The sequence below is a fragment of the Homo sapiens genome, chromosome 21, assembly GCF_000001405.40.
Source record: "Homo sapiens chromosome 21, GRCh38.p14 Primary Assembly".
Lineage (NCBI taxonomy): Eukaryota > Metazoa > Chordata > Mammalia > Primates > Hominidae > Homo > Homo sapiens.
The window spans coordinates 7,070,793-7,095,314 of record NC_000021.9 but is presented as its reverse complement, the minus strand read 5'-3'; the positions used below and the strand labels follow the sequence as shown (position 1 = coordinate 7,095,314).

The 24,522-nt window shown below is 38.9% G+C and overlaps 1 long non-coding RNA gene across 1 annotated transcript in view; it reads right to left on the bottom strand.

Annotated features, from left to right (window-relative positions):
* Positions 1-8,084: 8,084 nt before the first annotated feature.
* LOC102724843 (uncharacterized) overlaps positions 8,085-24,522 on the bottom strand; it is a 38,372-nt gene continuing 21,934 nt past the window's right edge. The window contains exons 2-3 of the long non-coding RNA NR_170986.1: positions 14,102-14,266; positions 8,085-10,070 (exon numbers count right to left, since the gene is read on the bottom strand). This is a non-coding gene — a long non-coding RNA (uncharacterized LOC102724843). The remainder of the gene's footprint in view (positions 10,071-14,101; positions 14,267-24,522) is intronic.

The window sequence follows — 24,522 nt, the reverse complement described above, 5'->3', positions numbered from 1 at the left end:
CGCGCATGAAATGTACAGTTACGCTTCTGTTCACTTGTCATGAGACTGTTTTCTTTTACCCCCATGAACGTACTTACCATAGCTTCTTTCAAATCTTATCTACTGATTACAGCATCTTGCACATCTTGAGAATAGGTTCTATTGTCTGCTTTTTATCTTGTGAATCGATTACACTTTCATGCTTCTTCACACATCTCATGAATTTTTAAATTGTGTGATAGGAACTACAGGGACTCTGGATTCTGTTGTATTTCTTTGAAAATTATTATTTTAAGAGGGAGTTAATTTGAATAGATTCAAACCCCAATCCTTATCTCTTCCACAGTGGCATAGATAAAATCTTCATTCAGTCTTCTAAACAGTGTGCCTTTCTATATAGCAAAATATAGTATTTTATTAAGCTTTATTATTGTTATCTGTGAAATAGTTATTCAACGAACTAGTCTACTTCATTATTACTGGAAACCAGAACCTCAGTTGTGTTCACTTTCTGGATTTTATATAAGTGAAATTATATAATATGTATACTTTTACATCTACTTTCTTCTAGGCAACTTTATATTTATGATATTAATTCATGCTATTGCAGATAGCTATAGTTTGTTTATTTAAAAAATATTTTTTACATTTTGGCAAAGTATACATAAAATTAACCATCTTAACTATTTTAAGTGTTCAGCTCAGAGAAATTAACTACACTCACATTGTTTTGCAACTATTATTCCCATTCATAAGGATCTTTTTTCAACTTCCAAACCAAAATTCAATACACATTAAATAACAGCTCCCTGTTACTCCCCCTCCAGCTCCTAGGAACCACTCTTCTACGTGGGTTTCCAGAATTTAACTACTCTAAGTATCTCATAAGTGGAATGATACAGTATTTGTCCTTTTATGACTGGCTCATGTCACTTTGCACAATGTCCTTAAGGTTCATGCATGACGTACCATGTGTCAGAATTTCCTTATTTTTCATAACTGAATAATATCCCACTGTATGTATAAATCACATTTTATCTATTTATTCATTGATGATAATTCAAACAACACAGGTAATTCAAAAACCTTTTGAGTGATGTGAGTCATGCTGCTATGAGCTTAGGTGTACGTGTATTATTTTGTGTCTTCGCTTTCACATCTTTTGCAACATACCAAGATGTGAAATTGCTGGATCATACGGTGATTTTGAGTGTAAATTATTTCGTTACTATGGTGTTGTTTTATAGCAGCTGCAGCATTTTACATTTCCACCAAGTGTACAAGGGTTCTAACTGCTCCACTTCCTCACCAACACTTGTGATTTTCTGTTTTTTTTTTCTTTTTGTACTAGTTATGCTGATGTGCATTAAGTGATATGTCATTTGGGGTTAGATTTTCATTTTACTAATGAAAATGAAAAGGTTTTGTTGAGTACCTTTTCATGGGCTTATAAGCCACTTCACATAATTTTTAGAGAAATATCTGTTTAAGTATTTTGCCCATATTTTAAACAAGTAGTTTATTATTGCTGAATTGTTCTTTGTATATTCTGGATAGAGTCCTCTTTATCTATTTTTCTTTTGTTTCTTGCATTTTTGGTGTCCTGTTAAAAGAAATCACTGCGAAATCCAGCCTTATGACGTGTTTTACCTACATTTTATACTAAGAATTTTGTAGTTTTAGCTCTTACATTTAGGTCTTTGATCCAGTTAGTTAATTTTTTCTTATAGTAGAAGTTAAGGGCCCAGCTTCACTCTTTTACATGTGGGCACCCAATTTCCCCAGCACTAATTGTTGTAAAGGCAGTTCATTTCCCATAAAAATCATTTGACCTTATATATGAGGGTTTATTTATATGGGCCTTCTATATTACTCCATTAGTCTCTTTGTAGCATGCTATTTTGGAATTTTGTAGTAAGTCTTGAAATCATTAAGTGTGACTTGTCTAACTTTGGTATTTTTTTCAAAATTATTTTTGCAATTTAAAGATCTTTGAGATTCCCCATAAACTTAAAAATTGATTTTTTAATATCTACACAAGAGTAATTGGCATTTTACTTCTTCGTTACTTCCTAACTACTTTATTCTTTTGATACTATTGTAAATTGAATTGTTTTCAGAGTTTTCTTCTCAGATTATTCATGTTACTACATAAAATGCAGTTTGTTTTTGTATGTTGATTTTGTATGCTACTATTCAGCTGAATTTATTAGTTGTAATATTTTTTGGTGGAATCTTAAAGATTTTCTACATATAAGAATATATTTTCTGTACACATTTTGATGCAGTTTATTTCATTGTCTTTTTTAATTTCTCTGAATGAAACTTCTAATACAGTGTTGAATAAAAGTGGCTAGCAAGAGCAGATATTCACTCTGTCTTCGGAGCTTAGAGGAAACACTTTTGATCTTTTCCTCTGGAATATGTTGTTTGCTGTGGGTTTTTATATGTGAATTTTACAAAGCTGGTTTCCTTTTATTCCTAATTTATTGTTTTTATTATAAAATATTTTGAATTTTGTAAAATACGTTATCTGTATTAATGAGAGAATACTTTTTAAAAAGTTTGTCAATGTGGCATATGCATTGATTAATTTTCATATGCTTAAACTTTTGTTAAGAAAGGCTAGCTAAGTGAACCAGTGAGACTGGAAAAAGAATAAAGAAATCTATACTGGTTGTGATCAATTATTTGTAAACACCACTGCACTGAAACCACCCATATGCTAAAACTTCCTTTCATTCCAATAATAAACTCCCCTTGGTCATGGGTTGTAATCTTGCTAGTATGCTGCTGAATGTAGTTAGCTAGGATGTTGCTGACTAGTTTTGCATCCGTGTTCATAAGGGATATTAGTCTATGGGTTTTTGTAGTATCTTTGTCTGGCTTCGGTATGAGCTAATGGTGGCTTCATGGAATAAGTTTGGAACTGCTCTCTTCAGGCTTTTGGTAGACTTTGGAAAGGATTTTTGTTCTATAAATGCTTGATCTAAATCACTAGTGAAGCCAACAAAATAAGGGCTTTTCTTTATGAAGAGGCTTTTAATTACTGATTCCATTTCCTTAGTAGTTTTGTATCTATTCAGATTTTGTATTTCTTTGTAATCAAGTCTTGTATACCTAGGAATCTGCCCACTTTATCTACGTTTTCCAATTTATCATCCTATCATAGTTCACAGTACAGTTTTTTAAACATTTTAATTCTTTGAATTAGTAGTAATGTCCCACTTTCATTTCTCATTTTAGTATGTGAATATGCTGTTAATTTTTTGTGTGTGTAGCTGAAAGTTTGCCAATTGTTAATTTTTTGAAGAAGTGAGAATGAACTTTTGGTTTTTTGGAATTCTGTGGTTTGTATAATCTCCATTGCATTTATCTCTGCTAAAAGCTTTAATATTTTCTTCTTTCTCTTTGCTTTGCATCTAATTTGGTGTTATTTTTCTAATTTACTAGGTGATAAAGTTATTATTTATTTGAAATCTTTGTTCTTTTTAAATGCATTTTAGCTGCAAACTTTACATCTTAGCACTCTTTTTGCTGTTTCCCTTAACTTTTGATGTGTTTTGTTTTCATTTTTCTTCCTCTGTAAGTATGTTCCAACTTCCTCTGTGATTTCTTCCTTTACTTATTTGTTGTTTAAGGGTATGTTGTTTAATTTATACAGTTTTGTAAACTTTCTAACGTTTCTTCTGTTATTGATTTAATTTGAGATCTACTACACAGCCCATCGTGGGGAAATCCCCATGTGCATTTGAGAAGAGTGTGTAGTCTCTTTTGTTGGATGGAGTATATTGTATATATCTGTTAGATCAATTTGGTTCATTGAGTTATTCAAGAACTCTATTTCCTAATTTATCATCTATCTCATTTTTCTATTCATTACTCAGAGTGGAGTATTAACATCTTCAACTATTATTTTAGAACTGCCTTTTTGCCCCTTTAATTCTGTCAAGTTATGCTTTCTATATCTCAATGTTTTATTATTAGGTATGGGTTTAAACTATTTCTATCTTCCTGCCAAATGGACAATCTATGACTATATAATGTCTTATTGTCTCTTTTAAGTTTTTAAGTCTATTTTGTCTGCTATTAATATAGTCATTCCCAGTCTCTTTTTCATACTATTGGTATAAAATAATTATTTTCTTCCTTTTTTTTTATAACCCTCAAGTCCTGTGGAAGGCTAAGAGCAGCATTACTTAATTTAAAAAGCAGATAAATCTTAAATCCATAGTTTAATATTTCTAAAAGCATTTAAATGGAAATGAGCTACGCAGTCTACCAGGAACGAAGGATATCAGTTGGGTCTAAGAATAATCATGTCAAAAAGCTCTAGGAGGAAAAGCTGCTGGGAATTAAGACTGTGATAACGGTCTTTGGGATCAAGAAGGAAATGGGGAATTGGGGATGCTCAAGGTCAGGTACATGCTTAGCAAAAGACCCAGAAAACCCTAAGCTCTCACCTCTGCATTTTAAACTCTGCACAAGTAGAAAGTAGAGGCTCAAGGAGAGATGTAACTTTATGCTGATTGGTAAAGGCATGCTCCAACACACATACATAGATCTCAGGTGAAAAAATCAGATATTTATGTTTAGTGAGAGTTAAAAAATCTGGAGTCTTACTTTCCAATTAAGGTTTAGTGAAAATATTTGGGGAGATTTGCATTGATCAATTCATCCTGAGGTCAAGAAAATCTTGATTTTGGCATTTGGAGCCTCTAGTAAAGGACTAGCCTCCTCCCAGAGGTGTTCTTTGGGCTTTTGGACTCAGTGACACACTACTGGTTACACTGATTTGAAAGTCAGCTAAGAGCTTGCTGCAGAACTCCTGACAAACTCAGTTTCACCCATAGAGGGCTAGAGCATCCCCAGCTGGTTGAAATTTTATGCCTCCTTCTATCCTCTGAAGCAAAGATGCTGTCTCTGTGGGGCCCCCAATTTACTGAGTGTTTCCTATATGACTGGTCCTGGTTCATAGATGAGTCAGGGAAGGTGAAACCTCATGATGTCCACTGGGCTGCTGTGGCTGTTTAACCTGTGCCAGCCATACAGAACCTGACATGAGTGGTTGCTCCTCTCAAAGGTCAGAACTCAGGGTTTGGGATAATGGCACATATTCTATCTGTTTGGTTATCTACAATGGAAACTGTAGACTGTCTGAATATCTTTTGGGCTGCAAACTGGAGACAATCTCAGATGCTGATCTAACTGGATCACTCATCTAGAAGTCCATGGTAAGGGTTTGTTTTCTAGAGAGTGACAACAATCAAGCTGCAGATTGAACCTAAATCTGTGTCTAACGCAGAGTCTAATACTGCAAACCAGACTTGGGGTTGCTGGTGAAAGTTGACCTATTTGTCTCATGGTTGAAGAATTCCTAGACCATACCAAGCAGAGTAACCAGAAGTGGACTTTTGGCCCACTTCTTGAGATATCAGTCACCACTCTTGACATCTTCAGCATAACAGTATGCCGACACCATCCATACCATGTGTCCCGTGAAGCTAATCTGTGCCATCTTTTAGGCTTTTGAGACCAATTGAGCTCTGACTTCGCGGCATTTTTCACCACACGTACTAAAACAAGCCAACTCTATGATGTTCCCTCCTTTTCCACACATGCTGGTTAGATAATTTGTTGATTAGGTATGGTTTATTTTCTCTTCCTGATTGCCTCCAAGATAAGGATGAAATGTTTGGGGGATCTAGGAATCATCTAGGAATCTATTTCACAAACTTGGAATTTCGTGCTAATAATTCCTGGGTGAAATGTGACTTTCTTTCCCATAACTGCAATTCTAGGCAAGCCTGGCTTTTGTATCCTCTGAGTTGCATCTCAGCCTAGTAGCAGTTATGGGACTCCAACTTAGTTCCAGCTAAGTTTTATGTAAATATTCTTGTCTCTATTTTACCTGGCTCTAGTAGATAAAGTGTCTAGAAAAAAGTAGAGGGCGACTAGAATAAAGATGAGATTATAGGTACCGGAATGAGACACACTGATTCTGTGGAAGTAGTGGGAGAACAACCTGGAACCTGGGGTATGAACAACACAGACCTCGGAAGCTACGGGAAACGGTGGGACATTAACAACTTTTTTTCTTTCTGAACAACCCCTGGTGCAGCCCACAGAAAGGTCTGGAAATACTATTAGTTAGATCAGACGGTAAGGCAGAGGCTGTGGATTCATCTCCTTTTGGTCCCCACATTACTCTTAAGAATCCTTTGAGACTATTCTATCTCTCCGTGATGTAGGCATGGAACTCTAGTGGGCAGTGTGCACTCTCGGTGCCCATGGTTCCAGGCCACAGTTTTTCAGATGATGGACAACAATTGCTTTTTCCTGAAGAGACTTAGTACCCTGTGGCTGAGCTTAAGCGGGACTCTAGACAGCATTGATTGCATTTTCTTCTTCCTCTACGAACTGGGATTTCTCCTTCTGTTTTTCTACTGCCTAGAGGTGAATCTGTATTTGTCAATATTTAGGTAAATCAGAGACATAAATCAGGTAAGGAACCCTAGACACTGCTTCTAGGCTAGCTGGACTCTTGCCTATTTCCCTTCTCACTTTATGAGATCAATTATATTGGCACAGGTTGATACCCTTAGATAGTGTCTCTAAGGAGCAATTAGAGAAGCATACTTCTAGAGAAGCTGGTAGGACAGGGCAGGAGGGCCAATGAGGATCAAAGTTTCTGTCCAAATTTTTGAGCCTAGGTGTGTGTGGCCGACGAATCCAGGAAAGATCCCAGATCCCTGGAAGGGATTGTTAAGAGAGGATCCATTAGATTAGAATGCTAGGGTGGGTGTTCATCCGTCGCCTTCTGAGTGGGATTTTCAGGGTTAAGACTGAGGTAGGGCTGCAGAGAAATGCTATCCTGGGAAAGCCTCTGATCGAGTGCAACATAGGTGGCTCCAGCACAAGGAGAAGTCCTCTATTTGAGGAACATTATACTTGTGTGGATGTGTCTGTGCTCTTCCTCAGCAGAGCCCCACTGACTGAATGATTGTTTGAGAATTATGAGTAAAGAGCCCTATATTATTTTGAATTTAGTAAATATTGGAAGAGAAACAAACAATATTATCTACTTTCAAATTGAATAACAGCATGAGCAACTTTCAGGAAAATGTCACAGGAGGAAACTCCAGGGCCTTGCTCATCCCTGGAAACCTTGAAAATCCTGATGCAACCTGTAGGGTTAAACTTATCAATACTTAATTTTTTGCCATATAGATTTATCTTCATAAAAAATATTTTCATTGGACCTTCATTTTGATATATGCCATGAAGAATAAATCATTTATTTCCTTTGTGATAAGAACATCACATTTTTACACCTCATGTATAAATGATGCCATCACCCATGTAGTTTTTATTGCTATGGCCTGAATGTTTATGTCCCCTTTCAAATTCATGTGTATAATTTTAGGCGTGAGGCCTTTGGGAAAGTGGTGAAGCCAAGAGTTCTTCATCTTCATGAATGGAATCAGTGCTCTTTCAAAGGAAGTTGAAGGGAATGCCCTTGTCCCATGTGCGAGATGGTACCATCTATGGGGAATAGGGCTCTCACCATATACGAAATTTGCTGCTGCCTTGATCTTGCACTTTCCAGACTCCATAACTGTGAAAAATACATTTCTCTTATTTATCCTTTACCCAGTCTAAGGTATTTTGGTATAGCAGCCAAGATGCACTATGACACTTTCTTAGACACTTTGGTTTATTTCTGAATTTTTAGTTTCAGTGATCCATGAGTTTTTTAATCAATCAAGATTTTACACAGGGCTTGCCAGTGGTTTTTTTTTTTTTCAGAGTTTTCTTGTCTATTCTTGTTTGTGTTTTCATCTATATAACATTTTATAGTAACGTGTACTTGCAATATTTAATGGTATCAGTATAGGAACAAAATTGAATTTATAAATAACTATAAGGACAATTGATGTTGATAATATTGAGTTTTTCTGCCTAAGAATATGATACAAATTGTCTATTTGCTTATGTCTACATTCATATATTTCATAAACTTTCTATGTTTTTTCCATATTCCGTAGATATTTTTGTAATATTTATTCCTAGTTTATTCTGCTAAAAAGTAATTTGAGACACAATGAAATTGCAAAGTGTTTATTTGAGTAAGAGCAATTGATAAATTATAAAATATCAGACGGAAAGATATTGAGTGCTTCATTGACAGTGTAAGAAGCAAGTATTTATTTGAAAAATGTAGAAACAAAGAAATCATTTGGTGGTAGCACAACTTTTTTTATTGTTTTTTGTTTGTCTGTTTACCTTGTTGGACAGTTTCTATTTATATAAGGTTGTTGGCTACTTCTGACTGGTTGAGCTTCATTTCTCTTTTTTCAATATGCAGCTACAAGAAATAATTTAAGTTTTGTTTGTATTTGCAAATCAAGCGAGGTTGAGATCACTTATGAGACCTAACTAATTTTGTCTGCTCAGAGATTATTGAGACATGATCTCCATTTTAATTTCCTTTAACAAATTTTCTGTACTTTTACTTTCCATCCAAACAGTAACTTATAAATTATTATTGTTGTACATATGTAGGCCCATGTTGTGTATGCTTTGAAGACCTGTCCTGCATTCAAACTCATTTGTATTATGTTATTATTGAATTTGCCCCATTTATTGGAATTATAAACTGCAATCCCCCAACTACAAGAGGTATGAGCTCTGATGAGATAAGAGTAAAGATGAATCAGAAGTGAAAACAGTCCTCCAACCCACACATGCAGTAAAAACAAATTTCACATGAATACAATGAGTAATTATCTAAAATTTAAAGTACCCTGAAAACATTAATGTTTATCTCATTATTATGTAATATGGAAATTACAAGGCAAAAAAATCCAAAGACTTACTGTTTAAATATAATTGAAGTTTTTTATATGATGAAGTGCTCCATAATTTAAATGTAAAAAGCCAATAGGAAATATATGAAATAAAATAAAATTATACGTAAAAGTGACAATGCCTCTATTAGATTTAACAGTATCTTACAATAGAATAAGTTGAAACCTACAAAATGGAAGAAAGTTTAAAATTAGGCAGATATTATCAGCCTGGTGAAGAATAAATACATATGTCAATAAGCATTTAATGTATTTTGTCTTAGATTTTACATGAAATAATAAAAAGTAAGCAAACCAATAGCATGGTAGTTTCACCCTGATTGATTCAAACTGAAAAAATATTAACATTTCTCCATGAGAAGTTGGATTCATGGATTGGCCTCATGCTGCATTCAAGGCACTTTAGCCAGGATCCAACACTCATTGCCAAGAGTCAGCAGGCTAGAAGTTTGCTTTTAAGATGTTCCCCGGCCTGCGACCAAGACGCTTTTTCCTGACTACTTCTTCAACTCTGACATAGGTTTTGCTGATATAAACGCAAACCCGGCTCTATACCTACCAAGTATCTACTTGGCTAGAGCTGCAAATGGAGCATTTAGGCACTAGGCAAGAGCTCTTCCCACGTTTCCAAGCACACTTTCTAGAATTTCCCAAAACTACTGACATTGTCTTTCAGACCCCATCTCCCAAAGAGAATCAGAGAGATGGTCTGGAAGCCATTTAGAATCTCCAGCCTCCAACCTAGTAACAATGGACTTGGATACAAAGACGCAACCTACTGACCTCAAAGACACCAGCCCAGATTCTGGGCATTGAATTCCTGCCTCCCCATGAAAGATCTCAACTGAGTCACATCAAAGCCCACACTCTTCTTCAAGGTTCACCTTCCAGACACGCTCCAAAACAGTCCCTCAGAATTGTCTTGAGATGAAACAAAAGGTGATGAAGGTCCAGGTTTGGAATGCCTGCCTCATTCTTCACTCCTGAAAAGTCTACACCTGCTGGTTAGCACTCTCATATGTTAGGGAGCCCGGGCTCTGAGTGCATCCTTTAACAGGACCTCCTGGCCTTTTCCTACTTGGAGTAGAGTGCCCAAGAATAATAGGGAATACAAGGCCTCCACTCTCACATGGCTTGATTGACTGATGAACTGATGTCGGAGGAGGAAACATATGTAGGGAACAGCCTGGGTCTTGTGAATCCGTTTCCCAGCTATGATGCCTGTGCAAATGGAGGGAGAATCGTCAAGTATTATTGGGTGGTAGACAGACACTGCCTAATAAAATTAAGTAAATGTAAGGTGACTTGAAGGGGAATTTATCATATGTCATATACAAAATTTTAGTTGGTCAACTTTATTTAAAAACAGTCACAATTTGTAAGGGCATTCAAATATAATTTTAATAGGGAGCTATGAAAATTATCTGCACTTGCTATGTAAGTGATTGAGTTAGGGGTAACTATCTGAAGGTCATGAGCTTGATATCTGCTACTTAATTTCATAAGACATTTACTTGCAAATGGTTGCCATTTTTGCTCTCACTATATGAAAATTTTTTCTTGCAAAGAGCATTCCTATGAAAGAAAAACTAGAAATTTTGCCAATTTCGGCTATTAAAACGATAAAACTGGTTTGTTTGTTATTCTTAACCAAATGCTCTTACAGATGACACATAGTACCCATGCTTTGATTGTTTTTTGTTTTTCTTTTCACCTTAGGTCAATTGCCTTTCATTTTATTTATCAAACTGTATTTACTGTAGATAGACATTGCAGTTCTCATGTGCCCTATGGATTTGTACTTTCTTAGAAGTATGAAAAAATTCTCAGGCTGAGTATATTGGCTTATGCCTGTAATCCCAGCAATTTGGGAAGCCGAAGCAGGTGGATCACCTGAGGACAGGAGTTCAAGACTAGCATGGTCAACATGGTGAAACCCCATCTCTCTACTATTCACAGTTCACATTGTACCTTGCAATGAATATACATTTTATCCAAAAAGGCTAAAAAATAATGAAATTGGGGTGGAAATGGCTGGAAGTATAGGTGAAACAAAAATGACACATGACTAGTAGCTGTTAAATCTGGGTGACTGGTCTGTTATCCTTTTTTTGTATTATGTATACGTTTTTAATGTTCTGTAATAAAACACGTGTAGAAAATGACAAAGTTTATCTACACTTAGCTCTTAAGGTCTTGGTTACCTTTGGGAAGGAGAAAGTGTCAAGGGCATGAGCAAATCTGATTCTTACATACACAAGTGTATTTATTTAGTAATAATTCATCAAGCATTCCATAAATATTTTGTTCCTATATTGCTGTATGCATGTTATTCATCAATAAATATTTAAATAGTACATATTTGCATAACAATCCTAAATTAATATTTTAGAATAATAGTAATGTTTTGTTTTGTTTTAAAGTGGGGCGTGTTCACTCAGGACATCGTCAGGTGTATATTAATGTTCCAAGATATTTATTTACGTTTTAACTTTTGGAAGAGTCCCCTAGGTCTTTTAATTTTTACCTCAGTACAGTAAGTAGCATGGTTTTAACTTTTTGGATTGCAGCTTTGTTTTCAGAAAGGTTCTCCCCGAAGAATGATGCTCACCCCGGCCAGCGCACACAGCACAGTGACCCGTGCACAGGATGCACTGAGCACACACGGCACTGGGTGAACCATGAACAGAAGGACAAGCCAGCCTGGGTCTGCAAAATATACTTTGCAGGAAAAGCAGGTAAAATTGAAAGGTCACAATTCAGCAGCAAACGTTTTTACATTCATTTGAGAAATCATTTCTAACAAAAGCTGCTCGTTAAAGCCATGGTTTTCTGGCTTGCCTACACATTGTAATCACCTGCACAACTTTCAACCGTATTTTTTTCAGATCCAGCTCCAAGGATTCTGATTTAGTTGTGCGGTTACAACTTGGGTTTAAGGGATTTTGATAGTTTTCCTCCCCGCAGGTGACTCTCTTGCGCCAGGGGTAAGAAGCGCTGGATAGGGGTGAGGGGTGCTTTAGCTGTGAGAGATAGCCATGTACGCTTCAGGATTTGCCCCATCGCATATCTGGAGTTCGGGGTCTTAGAAAATATTCTTGCCCTGTTAAAAATTAAAGGATGGCTTCAATACAAATTTAGCTATTTGGCTACGTTGCAGAAAAAGAAAATGCCTTTCCAGAGATCAGTTTTTTGAGTCAGAGTTTTGTTCTGTCAGTGAGGCTGGAGTGCAGTGGTGTGATCATGGCTCACTGCAGCCTTGACCTCCCAGGCTCAGGTGATCCTCCAGCTCCAGCCTTCTGAGTAGCTGGGACTGAAGGCATACACCAGGCATGGCTAATTTTTCAATTTTGTTGTTGTTGTTGTTGAGATGGCTTTCTCTATGCTGCCTGGGCTAGTCTCAAACTCCTTGCCTCAAATGATCCTCCCACATCAGTCTCCCAAACAGTTCAACCTACACGAACAGGCAACCATGCCTGGTGTATTTATTAAAATGTAGCTACTAGAATATTTAAAATTCACATGTGCCTCACATATTATTTCTTAGAGAATTGCCTCATTTTTGAAATCTCAGGCTGCCTGCTCTAAAACCTGGATGTGCCAGGAAAGTAAAACATCTGAAATTTTAAAACAATTGTCATTATATTGCTTCCATGTATGAATAACACATATATATTTTTCATAAATACAAATAATCTTACACACAAATGAAAATGCAAGTATTTTACAGGCAGGGCCAGTGTCCAGTGCATGAAGGAAGCCCTGCCAGAAAAGGATCCAGGAAAAACTTATAATTCTTGCTTTATTCAATCCAGTGTCAAATCACATATGTCACTCATGGCCTGAGGGGGCTTGGTGGGGAATTGAACTATATCCAATCATGGGTGCTGGAGTGGAAATTATCTAATCAGGTGCACAGCTGGAGAAGAATGGGCAGCTTTTTGGATCTAGGGATGCCTTTGCCTGTCTCTCTACTCAGAGCTCAGGACACTAGAGCCACCTCAACGCAATTGCCTGTTTTTTAGTTGTTTTAATGCTCCAAAAGAGAATTAGTTTTCTCATGCATTTTCCAAATGTGTGGCAAGAAGAGCCTCAAATCTACCACCCTGTTACCCCAGCCTAACTCTGGCTTGCTGTCAGAGTTTAAATTTCCAGTTCTTTCCTGACACTTACCAACACTAACTAACCTTGTGTAACTCACAACATTATCAACTGTTCTTTATTGTACATTTTAGACACAGTATTTTAATTCTGCATTTTTTCAAAAAGCAGTGGATGACACTTAAAAAAATATTTTTCATTTGTAAACATTTTACAGGACATGAAAGCAGATAATAATCCCCTGACAATCCACAGTAAAAAAAAAGAAAAGAAAAGAAAAGAAAATATTTGTGCCCCTTTCTTTAATCTTCCCTTGGCACAGACACCCCATCAGAATGTTTTTGGGTTGAGGTTTCATTTCAGAAACCTCACAGGGCAATACATCCTCAGCCATCTTGTGTTATTTTCTTGGTTTTGGGTTTCAAAACTGTTTGAGAATCCCCAAGATACCAACACTGGCCATGACTCTTGAAGTGTCTAGTAAATAACATCCCTTGTGTCATCTCCTCTCAGGGAACAGCCCAAGGTATGGGAATGCAGCCTCTTTTTGGAGTGGTTGGATGCACTATACCTGGAAGGAATCTCCACGTATACATTTGCGCTAAAAGCAAACCCTTTAGGACATTAAGAATTTCTTACCCCAACGCTTAGTTTCCATTCCTTAGAGACACATTGCATGCCAGGCAACTGGATGCTGAATAGTGAGGAAAAAATGTCCTCAGATTGGTGAAGGGAGAGAAAATATTTCAAAGGACAAAGAAACCCAACCTAGTGAGGCAGTGCAAAAACCTGCAAAGTAAAATGCACCTCACAGACACAGTGGAGCAGAGCGTAGCAGCTCCTGGTAGGACGCTCATGACCCACATCACTGAACCAGATAGAAGCAGGGAAAATATCCCAAGTAATAGAACGGCTTGACTTGACCCTTGGGTCAGATATGTCTGTGTTTCAATCACCATTGTCACCTTCTAATTTTGTCACCTTGAAAATATGATTGTATTTATTTTAACTTCACTTTTTCATTAACTGTAAATTATGTTTTATCAGTAGAGCTTCAAAGGTATGAGAATATTTATAAAGCACATTAAGTTGGTGAATTTTGAATAAAATTAAGTAGTAATGTATTTCATTTGTTAAAAATTGTTACTTACCTATTTCCTCAGCAGAATGAGTGTAGCATGTCTCCCAGGTCTGTTTTTTATTTGTTTGAGAGGTGATTTCAAGCAGAATCTCACAGCTTACTGTTGGAAATGCTATCAGTTGTAAAGATAGGGAAAATCTCTCTTCCACTACGGTGGTAGGAAATGAATACATATCTGCAAGCACATGAGGTAGATTAATTGTCAAATTACATAAATTTATCACATAAGTTATTCTTTTTTTCAAAAGAGAGAACTTGTGAAAGTGAATAACTCTATTCCATATGCTGCCATCTGGGTGTTTGAGGGTAATGTTAAGTTTTAGGAGCTGGGACTTTGCACCTCCTGGAAGTGTTCACATATGATTAATTGTTTACTAAATGATTTGTTTTGAACATAATTAAATTACATGTTTATTTTCTGAAAGGGATAGATACTTTGGCTTTTCTTGATGAATTATAAGATATAAGCCCCTTATAATGTTTTTATTTTATTTTATTCTGTTATTTTTTAGATGTAGTTTCACTCTTCTTGCCCAGGCTGGAGTGCAATGGCAAGACATCTGCTCACTGTAACCTCCAACTCCTGGGTTCAAGCGATTCTCCTGCCTCGGCCTCCCGAGTAGCTGGGATTACAGGCATACAACACCACACCTGGATAATTTTGTATTTTTAGCAGAGACGGGGTTTCTTCATGTTGGTCAGGCTGGTCTCAAACTCCTGATCTCAGGTCATCTGCCCGCCTAGGCCTCCCAAAATGTAGGGATTACAGGCATGAGTCACCATGCCCGGCTGTAATTTCCTCTCTTTTATATCTTAGATTTGAATAATTTTTGCTGGATTCTTCAAACATGAAGTATTTTTTGAATTGAAAACTAACTGAATGACTAACTGGTAAATAGAAGTCTTAGACCATTGACTAAAAGCTAAGGCCCACCTTGACCCTGCAAAAGAGGACCACTGAAGGCCCAGTTGATTATTCCTGGGTGTCTGCCCTGCAGGTGTCCAAGCCTACTCACACCAACCATGGAAGGAGCCTTTGTCACTGCCAGAAGATATAGAGCCTTGGTAAGCTGGAAGTTCACAGGCAGATGCAGTTGAGGTTGAGATAGAAGAAATGTTGGGAGATTCTTTTTAGAATGGAATTGTTATTGTCCTCAGACTGTTTCTAGACTTGGTCTAAGAAGTTACCTAAGAAGTATTGCAACAAAGAAAAAGTACAAATGATTAGATCTTTGAGTATCTCTAAGGTTAGGTGGAAAAGGGCCTTATTTCATAGGGAGGAGAAAACAAGTTTACAAAGAAGGTTGGAAAGGAAGCACACGATGGAGGGTAGCAAAATGCGATCCCAGATAAGATAATGTTTCACCTTGAACTCAGCCTGTTCTTAGGAGGGGTATGTATAAATAAGGGTTGTAGGTTTGCTGAAGCTGTGGGTGAGTCAAAGTTCAGGGGCTGGTTGGAAGAAGAGAAACAAGCAAAGTTTCTTTAAGAGTATGTTATTTGGACCACTGAAGACTAAATTACTGAATGGTTGTTCATTTTTAAAAATGGGAATTTGCAATCTGTGTCCATTTTTGTGATAGGTTAAAAAAACAGCAGGGAGCATCCTCAAAGTCATCAGGGGAAGCACGTTTCTCTTCACTAAGCTGTTCTTTGAGAATGCAAAGAATGGGGGAATTTCTTTAAATATAGCTATTTCCAGGATTGCCTTCACCCACAACTGTTCCTTGCCCTAGACATCTCTTCCATTTGGCTGTTTCTGAGTTATATTTTTATAATAAAGTAGTAAATATAATTACAGTTATTTGTTGAGGTTTTCTTTTTAGTAATTCTATCAAATTATTTAACTTGAAAAGGGGTTTATGCTAGTCTCAGATTTATAGGAGGTAGCTCAGAAGTGTAGATGGGCTTCAGGGATGTGTAACTCTCCTCTACAGTGAGAGGGGTGATGTGGGACTGAGCCCTGAATTTCTGGGATCTGTGTGAACTCTAAGTTGTGTCAGAATTAAATTTTGGGGCAACAAATGGGTGTTGGAGAAGCAGTGGGTTTTCAGGGAACTTTACACATTTAGGATCAAAAGTGTTGTAAGGAGAAAGACAATGTGGGGGCCTCTGCTGGAGAGAGACTCCAGGTGTCTCGGGGAAGGTAGGCTCTGCTCTGCACACAGGCTGCTACACCATGCACTGCCCTGTGGTTCCAGGCATTCTCCCATGGTAAGAAGGACCGACGACTCTGAGGGAAGAAGTTCTGAGAACAGATGCCTTCTACCCTCCTGCCAACCTGAGGCCACCACAGGTTTTTCACCCACTGAACATACACACTGCATGTTGATGTGGCCAAGCCCCTCTCAGGACAAGGCTTTGGCATCAAGATTGTTGCCCATGCTACCTTTCCTCATAGACTTTCCCACCAAAAACCCACACATGTGCCTACAAGACCCCTGGCATACGTTCTACCTCAGACACCGAATCTGCAGGGGCAACCTGGTTTTTTCACCATCCCAGGTTTCTGTGCCACCTGATCATAATCTCGTCTTCCTGCATGGACACAGAAATAAGTCAGAGTAAAGTTTCACCTGGGTCAGTATCTGTAGCATGAACCAGTCCTTCCACCAACCCTGTACTGTCTCCCAACTGTGGGTTCTTAATAGCACCTTCCCCTCTTTTACCTTTTAGTTCACCTCAAACCTTTTATTTACGTGCACTTAGTGTGTCCAAGCCACCCCTCAGTTGCCTGAATCCAGCACCTACTAAAATTCAGATGTCCAGTAGTTCAAGACCATGGGCCTAGACCATGTTTTTGCAGAAGGAAATACATATTAGAAATGAGAGGCTCTATTCTCCCATTTGAAAATTAAAAAAGATATTTTTTCTTTTCCCTTTTCTTAAACAATGTAATTTAGAGAACTTTTTTTAGTAATTTTTTGAAATGGAATCTTACTCTTTTGCTTAGTCTGAAGTGCAATGGCATAATCATAGCTCACTATAACCTTAACTTCTTGGGTTTGAGCAGTCCTCCTGCCTCAACCTCTTAATTACCTAGGACTATAGGCATGCACCTCCAGGCCTAGCTAACTTTTTATTTATTTATTTATTTATTTATTTATTTATTTATTTATTTATTTTTTCAAGACAGTGTCTTGCTCTGTGGGCCAGGCTAGAGTGTAGTGGCATGATCTTAGCTCAATGCAACCTCCGCCTCCCAAGTTCAAGCAATTCTCTTGCTTCAACCTTTTGAGTAGCTGGCATTACAGGCGCACAGCACCATGCCTGGCTAATTTTTTATTGTTATTATTTTTAGGAGAGAAAGGGTTTCACCATTTTGGCCAGGCTGGTCTCGAACCCCTGACCTCATTATCCACCTGCCTCCGACTCCCAAAGTGCTGGTATTACAAGCGTGAACCACCATGTCCAGCCATATTTATTTTATTTATTTTTTTATGGTGACAGAATTTCACCATGTTGCCTGTACTGGACTCAAACATTTGGCTTCAAGAGATCCTCCTGCCTTGGCCTCCCCAAATGTTGGGATTACAGGCATGAACAGCCGTGCCTGGCCTGGAAAACTTTTATATGTATCTTTTTTTCTCTGCTTCTTTGAAATATAAGCAAATCATTTTAACAGCTAAATAAGCCTTTTGCCACTCTTCATGACACAGAATTGTCTTTGTCTAAGACCTGGAAACTATTGTTTTGTTTTTTAATTTGGCAAAGATTTATTGATTTTTTATTTTCAGTCTTTTGAAGTAGGCACAGCTCAGTACAGTGGCTCATGTTTTTAATCCCAGTGCTTTGGGAGGCTGAGATGAGAGAATTGCTTGGGCCCAGGAGTTTGAGACCAGCCTGGGCAGCCTAATGAGTCTCCTTCTTTATAAAAAATTAAAATCAACTAGCAGGGCATGGTGGCACAGGAGGCTGAGGTGAGAGAATCATTTGAGCCCAAGAGTTTGAAGCTGCAATGAGCCATGATCACAGCACTCTACCACAGTACTCCAGCTTGGGTAACAGACGGAGACCTGTCTCTAAATAAATAAGTAAATAAAAAAAAGTGTTTTTCCATACATAAAAATAAGTAAATAAACAGATAAATAAAATAGACATGGATTTGCTGAGAATAAAGCTAATTACAAGATAACAGAAAAGTGAGAACCAAAGATGGGGTTCACCCTAGCAAATGATTCCAGCCTATTAGAACACTCAGAATTTTCCCTGCAGCATGACCGACATGAAAGTAGAATGTCATCATGTCAGGCTGTACCAGCGTCGGGAGACTAAACACTGTGGGGAAGAACCTCCCTTATGGAATATTATCAACAGGTGAGAGCCCAGCTCCTGCCCTGATGGGCTACAGAAATGAGTTCCTGAGATAACACATTGCAGAAACATGCATAGAGTAGTTTAACCTTTTTTGTGTGTAACCCTTTCTCCATTTTCCTGCGAAATCCTCCCTAGTAATAGTGTTAGCTTTTAAGTTTTGAGGGTCCGATAGGACTGAAGCTGCATGCTGCAGGAGATACGTGGGGCCGGAAACTAACACAAACTGCAGCCACAGGCATAAATACTCATGGCCTAATGTAAAGTGAAAACTATACAAAATTCTTTACCGTTATTCGCACAAGTGTGTGAAGAGAGACTTTCCACATAACCAACTTGCCACTGAGACTAGTGAAGGCCAGATTCCACTGGAACAAGGCTATGAGTTACTCATGGGAAGGCCGTAGGACAAAGCCCAGAGATTTTTCATATTTGAGTCTGGGTCCTGTTTCTTTCCCTGTCTTCTCAGCTTTCTGTCTGTAGAGACCCCTATGTGGCTGCTCTCAGCACAGCCCAGTGCTGGCTGTGTTTGCTGGTTTAGTGCACCTGCTCTTTTTCCAAAAAGAGGGAGGAGTTGGCCACATTAAACTGAATGATGAAGCTCCTCATCAATCTGAATGCAGCTTTGTAAATGTGCCTAGAAACCACGCAAAGAAAAGTCTGTGTTCTTCCTTGCTTTGACCGTATGTGACACCTCCATTAGAAATTCTGCTTTTCTCTGCACTCCAGCCTGGGTAACAGAGTGAGACTTCATGATAAATAAAAAAGAAAGAGAGAGAGAAGGAAAGAAAGAAAGAGAGAGATGGAAAGAAAGAAAGAGAAAGAAAAAAAAAAGAAAGAAGAAAGAAAGAAAGAGAAAGAAAAGAAAAGAGAAAAGAAGAAAGGAAAAAAGAAAAGAAGAAAGGAAAAAAGAAAAAAGAAAATAAAAGAAATTCTTCTCTTCAGATTAGGCACATAAGGAGAATCTGTATAAATCTCCATGAAGGAAGGAAACCAGAGGACAAGTTAAAGTCTTGGAATTCACATCTGAGTACACAGACTCGTTCTCCAACCCTCTTCTTTTTATTCTGCCAGCTATGGCCTAGGTATGAACATGACAGGTACACAAGAGTTCCAACACCCGACAATCTACTTCAGTCCAAGAAGAGTGCCCTCCCTCTTGCTCCCCATCCAACTCATGGTACTAAGAAGTGGTGTGGGACTGCCCAGATGAGTTGACAAGAGAGGCTGGCGTGGAGGGGCCTGTCCTGGGCTGCCCTGTGTTATTTGTAGGTGCACCCGGCCAAAAGCCAGGGACATCAGTGATGAGGGCTCAGTTGACATCTGTGTTATCAGATAAGACTTTTACATTGAGCCTTTGTAAGGCTGAAACTCAGAAATTTCAGGGCACAATGAAAGAGCATCTCACTCTCTTGAGCAACTCTCACAAACAGAGGTGGATACAGAGCTGTCTCAAGAATGTGGATTCCTGGTTTCTTAACTGCTGTTGGGTTCTGACACCAAGAAAGTATGTTAAACTCTTCAAGGTTCCATCTACTGGGCCCCATGTTTCTGTAAGACATACCGAAAGGCCCCACTATGCTACTGATTGCTCAGTCTCCTCTTCCATGTCAACTCTTTATTTGTACACAATTATGCAAACACAACTTCCCCTTAATTCCCTGGAAAGACCTAAATGCAACCTGGGTTCCAGGATAGAAGAGACAGCTGGAACATAACCTTGTTTTTCTTACCATCTCTGGGACCCAGTAAAAGTCACTGTATTCAAGGCTTCCCCAGCCTCCTAACATGCACACTGGTGATGATGCTAACATCTACTTCCTAGGGAATGTATTAGGTGTATATAAGATAAGACATAAAAATAATGATGTAGTGTCACCTGTAGATAATGCATACACTTAGAGATGGAAGCATTAGGAGAATAGGTGGGAGGTAGCATGGGCCACAACTCAAACAGGCCTGGTGTCTGCCAGGGTGATCTTGGAAATATCACTTCTCCACTGGGCCTCATTTTCATTCTGCTCCAGTATGAAGTTGAAATTAAATGTAGATACTGTCCTCTGGCATTCATATAGTTTAGCTGTGCGTCCCCACCCAAAACTCATTGTGTATTATAACCCCTAGGTGTTAAGGGAAAACCTGAGGGGAGATGATTGGATTATGGGGACGGGTTCTCCTCATGCTGTTCTTGTGATAGTGAGTTCTCACGAGATCTGATAGTTTCATAAGCATCTGGTACATCCCATGCTCTCACTCACTTCACTTGTCAGCCACTGTAATTGGAAGGTTTCTGAGGTGCCCCCACAATTATGTGGAAATGTGAGTCAATTAAACTTCTTTACTTTATAAGTTACCCAGTCTCAGGTACTCCATCATTGCAGTATGAGAATGATCTAATACAGGAATTCAACTTTCTAGTGCTTTCTCTTTATATTTAGAATCATATCCATGTGCCTTATCACGTCTATGACAGAGGAAGTCTTCACAAAGTCTCCCAGTACTAGGTATTGAGTGACTCAGTTTTTTATTGAATAAAATGGAATACTTCCTGATGCCAGTACTATGGCCCTTCGGTTTTGAGGAAAATATCATCTTGTATGTTGGCTAACAAGGAGATAGGAGTTCAAATCAAATTTGTTTTGTCATACTGGCTTTAAGGCAGTGATTAGAAAAGGCCTAATAGGTGGGTTCTGTAGGGGATTGCTGGAAGGAAAGTAGGAATATGGAAAGTCATGAGACATATACAGTCATCTCTTCTTGTTTCCTCACAGGTCACATACAAATTCAGGGAGAGTTAGTATGAAGCACACAATGGAAATTTGGGCTCCAAAGTCTGCAAAGTGATGCTTCATGGACTTCAGTTGGCAATATTGGTTCCAACAATTTCAGCCAATGTTTAAAAAACTTATAGCAGTTAAATTTTTAGTGTTTCAACAAGCCGTTTCCTATCTTTCATTCTGAAGATCCATTTTTTAAGTCTTTTTTTTTAACAGTATAGGGGGTACAAATTCAGCTTCTCTCCAATGAAACACAGAAAAGGATATCACTTTTGTATTAGTTCAGGCTGCTATGCCAAAGAACCATAGATAGGCAGCATATAGACAACAGGACTTAATTTCTCATACCTCCAGAGGTTCAAATTTGAGATCAGGGTGTCAGCATGGTTGAGATCTGGTGATGACTGGCTTCTGAATTTCAGCCTGCACACTTCAGGTTTTACCCTCATTTTGCAGGAGGATGAGAGCCCTCTGCGGTTTCTTGTATAAAGCCAGTAATCTGTATTATGAGGGTCCCACCCTAAGGGTTTAATTACATTCTACCTCCTTATAGCATTACGCCCGGGGTTACAATTTTAACACAAATATAGAAGAAAAATTATAGTAACTCTCAAGTTTTTTTTCTTTCTTTCTTTCTTTCTTTTTTTTTTTTTTTTTTTTTTTTTTTGAGACACAGTTTCACTCTTGTATCCCAGGCTGGAGTGCAGTGGTGTGATCTCGGCTTATTGGAACCTTTGCCTCCCAGGTTCAATTGATTCTCCTGCCTCAGTCTCCCAAGTAGCTGGGATTACAGGCATGCGCCACCACATCTAGCTCATTTTGTATTTTTAGAAGAGACGGTGGTTTCACCATGTTGTCCAGGTTGGTTTCAAACCCTTGACCTCAGGCGATCCACACGTCTCAGCATCCCAAAGTGCTGGGATTACAGGTGTGAGCCACCGCACCCTGTCAAGATGTTTTTAAAGCTCTAATTTTTCTCCTACTGGGTTTTTCTCGTTTGCGCCCTCGATCTTTCTGTCTCTTTTTGTGTAAACCTTTTTGTCTAATTCTGTCTATTGTATTCCTCAAACACAGGAAGCAAGCTCCAATGCTATGAGATGCTCCATGTAGAGACCCACATAACAAAGGGTGAGAGGGTGCTCAGACGAGTAGAGAGAAGGAAAGTCAGGCTCTCCAGCCACACTAAACCCTGTCAATTTTCACATGAGTCAGCTTAAAGGCTCATGCTTTCCCAGTCCAGCTTCAGTTAAGACCACAGCCCCCAGTCTCATAAAAGACCTGAAGGCAGAGGTAGCCAGCTGAGCTGTGTCCAGATTCTGGTCCACACACATTATGAGATATTATATGTTGTTGAAAAGTGCTGACTTTTAGGGCAATGTTGTCAGAAAGGAGCAGATATCTAACCTCATCTCCCAGGCCCTAGGATTCTCCATCCCTCTGCTTATCTCTTTCTCAGGCTGTCTGCAGCCAAACTAGTCCCTTTTTACCTCTGCCAAACTCACACCTATGAGTTTTTTCACTAAGGGTGGCTTCTCCCTGACACATGCTTGTGCAGATGCCTCCCTGCTGTCATCCTCATCATGGATTAAAAGTCACCTCAGTGAGGCCTGAGGTCCTCCCATGCAATAATTTTCCAGGTTTTCTTCTCAATAATCTACTTTATATTATAGTCCTTGCTCTTTTCTTTCACATATACTTGCTTTAGTGCTTTTGTCCAGCGGTCCTCAGATTGTTTGGTCCTGGGTTGGGGGGTGCAGACATGAAGTAATAATTTTCTGTACCACATGTTGGACCCACCAGGGTCGCTGGCAAATGGTGAGCGCAAGGGAAAAAAGACTGGCTAAGTGATTATATGGGGGATCCCTAATATCCCTTCCCCTTTTGACCACCTGATAATGTGGACATCACTGATAACAACATGAGGTGTGTGACTGTTACTTGTTCCAGCTGCTCCAGCAAAGCTCAGTGGGCACCAGAAACACAGTAGGCTGTAACCACCTCCTGGCCATCACTAACCCTACAGCCCCAAGCAGGAGCACTACTGAACAAATCTGATACCTTGATTTTTCTGTCCTCAAGACACTGGTTCTTCAAGGTCCTAGGGGATAAAGTAGCAGGATCTGAAGGCCCCAAGTATAATGAGTGAACTAGGAATCCCGTTTTGCCCTCTCTTTGCCTCCACCTTTTTGGTTGTGCTATTTACTCATGAGGTATCCTCCCCTTATCCAGTGAAATTATTTTCTACCACTTTCAAATGAGGACCTTAAGAACGCAACAGTAGCTGAGATTTTCCGTGGACCTCAGCCTCAGAGTCCAGTGCTCTGGCACATTTAACTCTGTCTCATCTTCATCTACCCAAGATGCCTCTCAAGTGGCCATGCCTCCCTCTGATTTGAAGGATCTGCAGAGTGGGTGCATTTTTGCAGTCTCAGAGCAAGAATCCAGGCTGGCAGACACTTATGAGTATGTGAAATCATCAAGGTCACCCACTTCAGGCACCCCTATTTATGAGGAAGAAAACAAGCTTTCCTGTAGGCACTGTCTACATTAGGCTGAGGTGGAGCATAGCTCATTTTACTTCCAGTTGCCCTCAGAGCTGGATGCAGAACCCCAGTCCTGTTATCTTGAAACTGACATGGAGAGGACCCCATGTGAACAGAACCCTGAATCTGCTCATTTTCTGTGCTCCTGAATGTGTAGCTACAGACTCTAATTTCGAAAACAAACCTGATAAGTGGGACGGTGCCAAGGCCTAGGAAGCTGGAGCCCTCTCTAATGCTCTGGAGCCTGCCCACCTCCTGAGATCTGGACCAGTCTCTGCCTCTTCTGGGGCCTCAGTTTCCCAATTGTAATGTAATGAGAAATTAAATGTAAAACTGCATAAACATATGCTCTGTGAGAATTTGGTGTCAGAGTTCTCAATACTGGATGATAATTTGGAGTGGGGTGGGTTTGGGACCCATGGGTTCTCAGGCCTCCTTTCACACCCAGTGCAGTAGGTGTAGAGCTCTGGACAGCCAGGTGTTCTTTCCTGAGCCAGCTGATTACAACACAATGGACCAAGGGCTCTGATCTTAAATATGGTTTCACAGGATACCCCACCTTCAGCCACCACCTGCTCTGTGCTTCCCATATTTTGGGGAGCTGATGACAAACCCCATTATAGTGAAGAAGAACAAGAAACTAGACTTGTGGGCCTGGGGAAAAGAAAAAAACACTTCTATTTCTCCCAAACTGTAGAATCTCTTGTCAAATATTTAATTTTGATTATATCTGAGCTTGATAATACATTCATGTGTTAACAGCTGCTTAAATTTATTTTTTCTGTGAAGTGTGGGAT